General features: G+C 35.4%; 1 long non-coding RNA gene across 4 annotated transcripts in view; it reads right to left on the bottom strand.

Moving 5' to 3' along the window:
- Window positions 1-3,215, bottom strand: part of LOC105370481 (uncharacterized) — a 64,726-nt gene extending 61,511 nt beyond the window's left edge. For all 4 annotated transcript variants that reach the window (XR_001750753.1, XR_001750754.1, XR_001750755.1 and 1 more), the window contains exon 1: window positions 3,176-3,215. This is a non-coding gene — a long non-coding RNA (uncharacterized LOC105370481). The remainder of the gene's footprint in view (window positions 1-3,175) is intronic.
- Window positions 3,216-11,973: the final 8,758 nt, after the last annotated feature.

Consider the following 11,973-nt stretch of genomic DNA (forward strand, 5'->3'; position numbering starts at 1 on the left):
TAAGCCACCAGCCTATAGTACTTAGTTACAGCAGCCCAAACTCACTAAGACATCTGTCCAACCTTTTCATTCATTCACATTGTTCGTTCATTCATTAACAAAAAAAAAAGGAAATAGATTATGAATACAAATTAGAGATAAAGCAAATACTTGTTTAGAATGAAAAAGAAAATAAATTGCAAACTATAAGTAGCTAATAAACAGCATTTACATCACAAGCTTTAAAAGAAATTTTTAATTGCCTAATCCATCTTTATATTCTTTCTTCTTTATATTTTCTAGCTGCATTTGACCATTACTAATACATTTATGAAAAGATTGAAAGCTTAATTCAATATGTCCTCTAGTAAATTATTTGAAATTTGTATTGATAACATACAAATTTCTTTTGGCCTCACAACTCAATGTGTATATAATATGTATACTTAGGATTATTGTCAGATTGAGAAAATCTTACATCTTTCATATGTGAACTATAGTATTTCAAAAAATTTCATTTCTCTGGGCACTGACTACTCTCGAGTATTAATGGAAAATCTTCATGAACTAGTTTACAGTTGATATCCTCCTTGTAATATAGCATTTGATGGGATGGAAACCACTTATACCAATTGTACTCAGAAGAACTAATTGTGTGCATCTCTTCCCAACTTTCTAGTTCAGTCACATAATATCGGTAGGTTGAATTGGTGGTAGTGGGAGTATTTACAGCATTGGAAAAACTACAAATCCAGTCTTATTTTCTCCCTGGAGAGCCACTTATTAAACATGTATCAGTACACCACTGTTAATACCTTCTTTCAAGTTATATGCTTCCTTTATTGGTTTCACTAACTAATGTCAGGTCAGCCAGAAACTTCAGGCTTTTTCTAATGAGCTCAAACAATTTATTATTCTTCATTAATTGGATTGTAAAATATTAATAATCTTAGAGCCGATTAACTGCAATTAAAATATTTGCTTAATTAAAGACATTGATATGATCTGAAATTTGTTTTGTCAACAATTTGGTTCTTTATCATTAAATACTTTCTATTGATATTATTCATCTGCATTGCATTTGTTTTATATTCTACTAGTTTTTTACCAATTTTTCTCTCAATTTTTTAATAAATAAATTTGAAATTACTGCCAAATAAGAAGTCTGTATATTTCAGTTGTTTTAAGTGAAATGCTCCAAAATGTCTTTTTCAATTGCAGTGAAAATAATGTATTTCATCACTTTGAATTATTTAAATAAACATTTACCTCTTTGGGCATATATCTTTGTATCAAAATGTTGATGAATGCCAGATGAGTCAGCACAGGGGTAGTCAGAATACTTTTAGAAGCAATTCCAACACCAGACACGCTAGCAATACCTCATCTATTCATCGATGTGACTACAGAACACATAAACACACCCTATTAAATGTGAACTAAATACATTCTTTAATAACTTTTCCTTTAGCAAGATCCCCAAATTGCCAAAATCACTTCAATGATGCCTACTCTCAGGGAGAAGTGTGAAGGAAAGTGGGAGTGCAAAATGGAGGGCAAATTTTATAAAAACAATACATGAGCTCATTGCTAGGGCCCATCCTAGGGCCTGGGAAAGGACCTGTGAACATGAAGATTCCTGAATCCAAGGCTTTATTAATTTTGTTAAAAGTTAATTTTATTTCTGAGCAGGTGATATTACCGTTTTTTTAAATCCCTTTTCATTTTTGCCTACCTAAGTGGTATTCTTCTCCCATTTGCTTTCTACAGCCCCAATGTCTTCAGAAATCTCCAAAAAATATTTATACCCTAACTACCCTCAGGTCCTTTACTCACTAAAGTTCTTTACTGTCCTAAAGTCCTTAACTGTCCTTAAGTCCTTTACTCACAATAAGGACTTGAGGGCAGATGGGGTATAAATATTGTTTACTCATTTCCTTTTACTTACTAAAATGTAGGTTATAGTTTTCAACTTAAAAGTGTTTCTCTCTTAAGATTTCCAAGATCAAAGCCTTACAATAAAAAACATGGGTAATAATAGTAAACAATTTCAAAATCATGAATTAAGACAAATATTTTGGTGCATGGGACTATACAGATTCTTCTAAAATCATAGTTTATATTTTAGTTGGTTGAAGAAATAAAACTATTTAATACATGTTGGTTTGTTATTTGAAAAAGAATCTGTATACTTGCTGAATTTTTTATAATGAAATAGATTCTAGAGGTATTAGTAATTATTTAAACATTAAAATAAAATAAAACACTAGATATTGGGGGAACCAGCCCCCAATATTTTAACGTAAGTGCTTTCTATTTTCCCTAAGTGTTGGCTGGTCTGATAAATAAAGAGAAAGAGTACAGAGAGGAATTTCACAGCTGGGCCTCTGGGGGTGACATCATGTATTGGTGGGACCATCATGATGACCCCAAGATGCAAAACCAGCAAGTTTTACTAGGGATTTTAAAAGGGGAGGGGGTGTATGAACAGGGAGTAGGTCACAAGGATCACATGCTTCAAAGGGCCATAAAGATCACAAGGCAAAGGCAAAATTAGAATTACTGATGAGGATCTATGTCCAGCTGTGCACGTATTGTTTTCATAAACATCTTGACAGGAAACAGGGTTCGAGAGCAGAGAACCGGTCTGACTAGAATTTACCAGGGTGGAGTTTCCCAATCCCAGTAAGCCTGAGGGTACTGCAGGAGACCAGGGCATATTTCAGTCCTTATCTCAACCGCATAAGACAGACACTCCCAGAGCAGCCGTCTATAGACCTCCCCTCAGGAATGTATTCCTTTTCCAGGGTTATTCCTTGCTGGGAAAAGAATTCAGTGATATCTCTTCTACTTGCACATCCATTTATAGGCTTTCTGCAAGAAGAAAGATATGGCTCTATTCTGCCCAACCATGCAGGCAGTCAGACCTTATGGTTATCTTCCCTGAAAATCGCTGTTATTCTGTTCTTTTTAGGGGTGCACTGATTTCATATTGTTCAAACACACATGTTTTACAATCAGATTTCATATTGTTCAAACACACATATTCTACAATCAATTTGTACAATAGTGGTCCTGAGGTGACATACATTCTCAGCTTACGAAGATAACAGGATTAAGAGATTAAAGTAAAGACAGGCATAAGAAATTATAAGAGCATTATTAGGGAAGTGATAAATGTCCATGAAATACTCACAATTTATGTTCCAAGATTGCAGTAAAGACAGGCATAAGAAATTATAAAAGTATTAATTTTGGAAACTGATAAATGTCCATGAAATCTTCACAATTTATGTTCTTCTGCCAGGGCTTCAGCCGGTCCCTCCATTCGGGATCCCTGACTTCCTGCAACAACTAGAAGAAAAGACACAGGAAGTCATTATATTTTTGAAGTGGGAAAGGCTTACTGAAGCAAGACACAAAGAACAGAACCTGTAAAGGAAACTTGTGACATCATAAAGTATTTAAATATCTGCAAGATTAAAATGTATATATTATATATATATATACACACACACATTTTAATCACACATACAGGTATATGGATATAAAGATCTCAATATTGAGACACACAGAATCTCACACACACACACTATGTAAGTCATAGTTTTTTTTACTTTATTTTTAGACAATGTTTTCCTAACAGTGCTCTGGATTTGATCTTTGCCTGGAAGCTATTTCTGAATTTGAAAATTGTTTGCCATTTGGATAATCTGGGAATGAAAAACGGTTTTATTTTGAAATCAGCAAATTTTGGCTCTTTTATATTCAACCATCTGTTCATTAGCTAATCTCTCTCTTCATTTTATTATATGCAAATAGAAGAAGCCAGGTGGCACTTTCAATACTTTGCCTGAAATCTCTTTAGCCAGATATCCAGTTCATTAAGCACATTTTCTATTTTCTATGCTACCACAGGCCACAACATTGCTAAACTTTCTGCCAGGAAGTAACAACGGATTTCTTTTCTCTAATTTCCAATCACATTTTTCTCACTTTTTATTAGGTGCTCACCAAAAGCCTTTCAAGTCCCTTCAGCATTTTATCAATGATCTCAAGGTACTTCCAATATTTTTCCACTGCTGAATCTGAAAGACACTGCCACCTATTTAAAATTTGGGTCCATAGCATCCTACCTCTAGTATCCCAAATCTGTGTCAATAATCTGTGACTATGTGACATGAAGCAATAGTTTTTTACTATTATCACTAAGGTTTCTGAGAGTTTATTAGGTTCAGCTAGGAAGTCCTTGCTCGGGAGTTTTTCACGCAGTTTTTTCAGATGGTGACTGAAAACAACTTGAAGGCCTTTCACATACATAGCTTTAGTTGCCTCTGGCTTTTGGCTGGGGTCTCCCCAGGTGCTGTTAATAAAATTTTCTGCACTTAGCCTCTCCATGTGTCCTGGGCTTCCTTGAAGCATTGTTTGTGTATTTCAAGGGATGGCATCTCAAGAGTGGAGCCAGACAGTTTTTATGTTGCCTTTTGCGACCTAGCCTTGGAAGGCTTGCAATATCACTGCCACCACATTTTATTTGTTAAAAGTTAGTCACTGAGGAGACTTACGGAATGGTGAAGAAAGGACCTATGAAAATCTGTTTCTCCATAAAGGCAGTAAGAACACTGGCAAAAGTTGTTAAGATCAACTTTTTCAATACTCTGGAAACTAAACTAAGACCTGCAGCAGTCCAAGGAACGTTTATTCTAGAAAACTTGCTTCTCCTCAAGGACAGTGAGCTTTGTGGTTAACTTGCCCTATGTCCATTTCCTTTTCTTCAGATCCATGGCTGCTGTGAAAGCAGGCAAGCAACCACTAGGGGGGCTGACTGGGTAAGGAGCTTTTCCTAAAGCTCCATCTCCAGAGAATTGTCACAATTTGACTTGTTTGTTGGTACCCCAGTAAAACCTCATACACAGGGCTGTTGTTATTTGATCTAAATCAGAGCTTGCTCAGTGGGAAAAGCTCTATTACTGAGTTGTTTGTTGGAAACAATCAATAAATAGCAATTGTTTAGTATTGCAGCTGCCTGAGGTGGAAATACCCATTGGGAAAAACGAGACTGGCCAAAAGACTTAAAAGAAAGCTCTTGGGAATGAGATATCTATAAAGAGCTTTGAAGAGGTCTGACATAATTCTGGGGGTATAAAAAACCACACACATGTAAAGGGGTGTGTACATGCTCCAGAAATCCTGAGAAGGCTCTAATCTCTTGCCTTTGGCTGGCCTTGGGTCCCTGTGTAAAAGTAAAGCCTAAGACAGAGTTGTAAACTGTGAGAACATTGAAGGAATGCCTCAATATATAGGTAAATCCCGGCCACATCCTGGTGTGTTTTGGTGACTTGAGGCCCTCCCTAGTTCATGGGATTAACTGGAAGAGACTTCCTCACATTAATTATGCAATGAGCAGGTGTCCTTGTGCAGGAGTTGTGACCTGCAGAATTATTGCTACTTGGATAAGCCTACAATTTACTTCTTTCATCCTTGGCTGAGAATTTCAATTTGCAATTGTCGGCAGAGAGAGGAAGAAACTGTTCCACTCGGGTTCAAGGAGCATACAGAGAGAAGGCAGGGAAGAAGGAACATGTGCAGCCTTTCAGTATGAGTAAAGTCAAGATTTGAAATGCACGTTCCCTGCCTGAGGGGCTCCAGAGTGTTGTGAGCCTCTGATCTTCACGGTAAAGAGGCCTATTGGAAGTTGGAGGTTATTTTTATAATTTTGAACTTTTTATCAGTATTCTTTGGTGATTCTCATACCTTCCTTTAATTCTATAGACATTATTTTTATTCGTCTTTGAAGATATTTATAATAGTTAATTTTAAGCCTTTGTCTAATAAGGGCAACATGTGAACTTCCTTTGGGACAGTTTCTATACATTCTTTTTTTCTTCTATCTATGGATAATACCTGTTTCTTTGAGTTCCCGTACATTTGAGTAGAAAAATGGGTTAAATATCATATGGCAGCTCAAGAAATCAGATCTCTGTCTTCCCATTTGTTGTTATTGTTATTGTTGCTACTACTGTTGCTCTTTATTTGACTAATAGCATTTCTGGAGTAATTCTTTCCAGGTTTTATTCCCTGTTGTGTGTACCGGTTAAAAGATACTGCTCAGTTAGCTTAGAGATCTGCTAATGATTGGAATGACTGGACAGATATTTTCTTAATTGCTTTGAGCCAATATGCTTTCCACTCTTGGCTGAAGGGATTTATGTGTCTGTGTGTGTATGTATGTGTGTGTGTATATATATATATATATATATATATATATATATATATATATATATAGGCACATATTTTAAATTGTATTTTACTTTCACATTTACACATTCAGGAAACCACTCTGTGAAAAGGAAAGTCAGGGCCACCTTTAAGCAAAGGAAAGTAAGGGCCACCCAGCTCCCTCTTCCACCCTGTCTCAGCAGCACCATGCAGACTCAAGCTGGCGGTCATCCCAGGAAATTGTCCAGAGTCTCAACGGCCTTGGCTGTGGATGGCCTCTAAAACAGTTGCTGTGGCTTGCCCTGCACCAGGGACTCCCTCACTGCCTGGAAGCTGTGGTGTTGGAGGCTGTCTGGGCCCAGGATTTTATTGCTGGTAAACTTGGTTATCTACCTTCCGGTCACGTGGTCCAGGATGGTGGCATGATCAGAACTAGGTCCTGTGGTGCCCATTTTGCTGAGATGAAAGGAATGGAAATGTGTAAACTGCACTGAATTCTGTGATGCTGGCATGTTCCCCCTGCAAGTCTTCATCCCTAAGGGGCAGGGGTGGGGAGGTCCTGGAGGATACAGGTAGAGACCCACTGCTGACCACCCAGGTGGGGCAAGTCAGGACTAATGTGCCCAAATCCACAGTGGCATGAGCCCCAAGATGATGATTCTCCCCAAATTGATAATTGATTTAAAATTTCAATACAGGCTTTATCAAAATCATTGCTGCTTTTTTTTTTTGGTGGAAATTGTTAATTAAGCTGATCCTAAATTCGTGTAGAACTGCAAGAGATCCAGAATATTCATTAAAGTCTTGAAAAAGCCAAACAAAGTTGGAGGACTGACACTTCTCAATTTCATAACTTATTGAAAAGTTACAATAATCAAGACAATGTGGTCCTGGAGTAAGGATAAACACACATGCGTGCACACACACACACACACACACACACACACACCAGTTGAATATAATTGAGGGCTCTGAAGTAAGCTCTTTTATTTATGGGCAGCCAATTTTTGACAAAAGTGTCAAGGCAATTCAAAAGGAGAAAGAACAGTCATTTCAACAAATGGCTCTGAGACAACAGCTATACAAAAAAGGACAAGGCTGGACCTCAACTTCAAACCACATAAAAATTTAACTCAAAATGGATTATAGACCTAAATATAAGAACTAAAAATGTAAGACTCTTAGAAAAAAATACTGTAATAAAACTTCATGATTCCTTTTATACAGCACCAAAAGGAAAAGTGACAAAGGAAAAAAATAGAAAAATTGGACTGCATCAATTTAAAAAATCTTGAATGCTTCAAACAACACCTGCAGGAAAATGTAATGATAACTCATAGAATGGGGGAAAATATTTCTTACATATACATCTTTTCACACTGATCAGCATACCCTAGCTAACTTCATGTATAGATTTAACTAGAGTTTGTCCTTTAATGTATTTTTAAAAGACATAAACCAAATGGTAGCATAAGTTGGAAATGTTTTAAAATGTACTTTGGAGTAGTTTTAGCTATTATATTTATGCCAGTTGAAACGATGTAAAAGGTGTACAGATAGCCTTTATTAATAGCATATCACAGTAGGAGCTGAACTGGATGCTTTGCATTTCTTTTCTGCCTTGCTATATTTAATACAAATAAAATGCATATATTTCACAAAAAAACAGTATTTTGAAAAACTCTGCATGATGCATATTTTGTTCAAGCCCATTATTTCCAGAAATACACATTAACACTTCAGCTTTATTTGGTACTTTTAAAATAATAAAATGGGGATAAATTGAAACCTAAGAATAATCCTTTAGATAAGTATGAAATATTAAAGATATAGGTTATTAATGACTAATTTAGAATAGTGTGAAACAGTACTCCTAAGCAACTCTTAACTAATTCTCAAATGCAACTCTTACTAATTTTGAAAAACAAAAATCCAACCAAGCATTTCAGGACATGTGTTTTTCATGAAGCATCATTACCAGAAGATATAATTCCTGATATGCTAAATATCGCAGCATTTGTATATTGCACAAATTATTTTCATGGATGAGATGATCAATTGAAATGATTATTATAAAGTAGTTAATTAGCTACTGTAGATAAATAATATCAATATAGTTAAAATGTGTAGAGATCAGGATATTATAGTACATTAATTTTTAATTTCAACATTGATCTAGTGTTGGAATCCCAACTCTTCTTTACTGTGTGATGGATATAGTTTCATCCTCCTGGAAAGTGACTTACAGAAAGGATTTCACTTTGTCTGACACATCAAGATTCACACAGCCTCTCCTAATTATAACAGTGGCAGTTCCTCATCCAATCAGTAGCACAGTGAATCAGACACTATCTCTTGACTACAGCTGCATGGATCTGTCAGCTCCAAACTTGTTAAATCTCAGTGTTCTGACTGGTATTCTCTTCTCTATTTCTTAAACAAAGTCTAATTTTAATTAAGATTTAAGCTATGGTAAAACTTAGGTTGTGATTTGTATGCTACTCACCTGTTAATTATCCAACAGGCAGGATAACTTTTAAATTTTTGAAAGAGCAGAGGACCAATGCTACTAAATTAATACTGTACATATGTCTTCATAATAGAACTATTTTCATAATAGTTGAAATTTTGGAAAATTTCCAAAGTTGAATGTTGGAAAATTTTTTTTTCATTTCAGTTTACTATATCTGAATCAAATTGAAGTCTGTATACATTTTTATATAGAATTAAAGGAATCCAATTACTTAATGAACGAAGATCTATTGAATGCCAAATGCTCAGTTCTGCTCTAGTATTTTCCAGATGTGTAGGGGGACATAATCAGGAATAGATGTGGGAAAATCTAATTTGGGAGATAAAATGTGTACATATTAGAAGATAACTAAAAACTCAAGACACTATAATAATCATAATTTAATTGGTGTACACAATTAGAGATATAAAAAATTGGAGGAAAGTAATAGTTCCTTAAATTTAGATGGTGAAACACACCTTACGGAAGAGGTTTCAATTATAAATTCAAATGCCATCCTCATTTCTTCTTCTAAGATACTGCTAATATCTGACAGGAAACTTGTTTTTTAATTTCTGTTTCCACAGTGGCCCTTCTTTACTTGTCTTTTCCAGTGCCTTGCAATCTGCTGGAATGGATAAGTTCCACTTTACAATACAAAGTTTAGACAGAAATATTTATATCCATCACCAGTGAGGCACAAAATTAGACTCTCAACATATTAAATAATGACTGATGTGGAGGCACACACATATAGTGACTTTTATCCAGGTAGTTCCTGAAACCTCAGGTTGGAGACATTTAACAAGCTTTAGCAGCTCTAATAGGAAGAAAGTGGAAGTCAGATTTTCTTGTCCTTTATTTGCTCTCAAAGAGCAAACATATGTCTTATTTGAGTGTTTTCTATAGTTTCTGTAACTACCTTAACTAGATAAATATTACTTTCTTTGTTTGACAGGCTTGAAGGTCTGCAGCCCATGCTAATTTGTTTCCATTTCACATCACCTCTTTTTTTTAATGATACAAAATAGCTGTACATGTTTTTGTGGTATAGGTGATGTTTTGGTACATGTAAATAACATGTAATGATCAAATCAGTGTAATTGAAATGTCCATCACCTTAACTATTTTTTCTTTCTGTTGGAAACATTCCAGTTCTAGCTATTTTGAAATATACAATAAATTATTGTTAACTATAGTCACCCTAGTGTACTATCAAACACTAGAACTTATTCCTTCCAACTGTATTTTTGTACCCATTAAGCAGTTTTTCCTAATTACCCACCCCTTTTCAGCCTATGGTAACTGCCACTCTCTACTTCCATGAGATCGACTGTTTTAGCTCCCACTTATTGTCTTTCTGTGTTTGGCTTATGTCACTTATGGTAATAACCCCCAGTTACATCTACGTTGCTGCAAATGGAAGGATTCCATTCTTTTAATGGTTGAATAATCTTTCACCACATTTTTCTTTATCCATTCATTCACTGATGGGCACTCAGGTAGATTCCATGTCTTCTTGGATACTGTGAACAGTTAATATATTACCTTTTGATGGAGAATTGAAAACTACTTCTACTTGTTTCTCTTGGTCTTGCCTGGCATGTCTTATGCCCTCAAGATGTTTGGCATTACACTTAAGTCTTTCTGAGGAGGAAAAGATTGGATGAATAATCATAGTAAGTTATTATCTGACCATAACTTTCCACATACAGGATGCTTTTCACATTTATTTTATCTTATTCTTCAAATGTTATTCCTTTCCCTTGGCAATCTATTAAAAATTGAATCTAATATTATAATAGTGTGATCTTTCTTTTCTATGGCACCAAACATTGCTATATTTACTATTTTGTCATATTGGTGTGTAATTAACAAATCATAGCATTTTAATTATTATAACTAATAAATATATTCTATAGACACTAATCAGATGTGGAATAAGTGATTTATGTTTAGTTAGACATTAGCAAAACTCTCTACATATCGTTAAAGTTTCTGTCACTCAAATTAGGTTAAAGGGGTACGAAAACAATATTGCCTTGACTCAGTGCTGGAAAAATAATAAATAGTTCAGTAGATATAAAATCAAATCAGAAGAAAAGTCATTTTTAACCTTGTTAGTGGGATAACTTTTACTGACTGGGGAGATTCAGCTGGACACTTGGGAAATATAGGAGCACAGAGCTTGCAACTGGCAAGTGAAATAGGAAAGACACAAATCAGAGTTAAGATGCTGGGTCATCAGTGGGCTTGTTCTAAGGTAAATGATAAGGAAGTCATTGAGATAAGACAGAGTACAAAGTAAAAGGGACCTTAAGCCAGACAGATGAGAGGCCTGTGTACAGGCAAAAGGAAAAATATGGGCTGAGGAACTTGTTAAAGAACGATGATATAGAGCAGTTTAAAAACACTAGGTTCGATCTTTTAATACTGCTTTTAAAAAAAGTTGTTCTTAATAAATTAACATATCTCCTATTTAAGTATAAAAATAGGCAAAACTAATCTTCAATCTAGAAGTCAGGATGGTGGCGACCTTTGTCAAGGAGCAGTTAATGACTGGGAGGAGGCATATGGGCTACTTCTGGTGGTGGTAATGTTCTGTTTTTCAATCTGGATGTCCTTACAGGGGTGTGTTCAGTTGGTGAAAAATTTTTTACATTTACCAGGTGTGCACTTTATATGCATATTTAATGCTATAACATTTATATATTCATGTTATGTTTTATATATATTTTATATATTAATGTAATATTTATGTTACCATATTTTAAAAAAAGGGGTTTTTTGAAAGGTAAGGTAAGACACGAGTAGATTTAAAAGGAAATTCTCCTCTGCAGTGCATCAGTCCTGAGTGAATGGTTGGTAGGTACCTCTCAAGTGCTGGGAGATGAGCCAGTGCTGTAGAATGGCCTCTGTACTTGCCGACCAGCGCTGAGAGAGCCTCTGTGGGTCCTCTCCAGTCCACCTCTATGCTTCACCTTATGTTAGTAGTCTTAGCACCTAATTAAATACTAATAAGGAGAAAGCTTCATCATTGTGTAGTGGGGTGGATAAACAAAATACAACAATGGCTTTGATGTGTCTCCACCCCTGGTACTGAGGTGGGATATCTTCAAATGCTAGCTCATCTTGTTCAAAATAGATTTGGCTAACAGTATATATTTGCAACCCCTGATTGAAAAGAAAGTGATAGTCTTTTGCCTCTAGATCCTTTTGTGGTCATGGTGGTTGTTTTAAATCATGGACACATGATTAAAATG

Source organism: Homo sapiens, chromosome 14 (assembly GCF_000001405.40).
Source record: "Homo sapiens chromosome 14, GRCh38.p14 Primary Assembly".
Taxonomy (NCBI): Eukaryota; Metazoa; Chordata; class Mammalia; order Primates; family Hominidae; genus Homo; species Homo sapiens.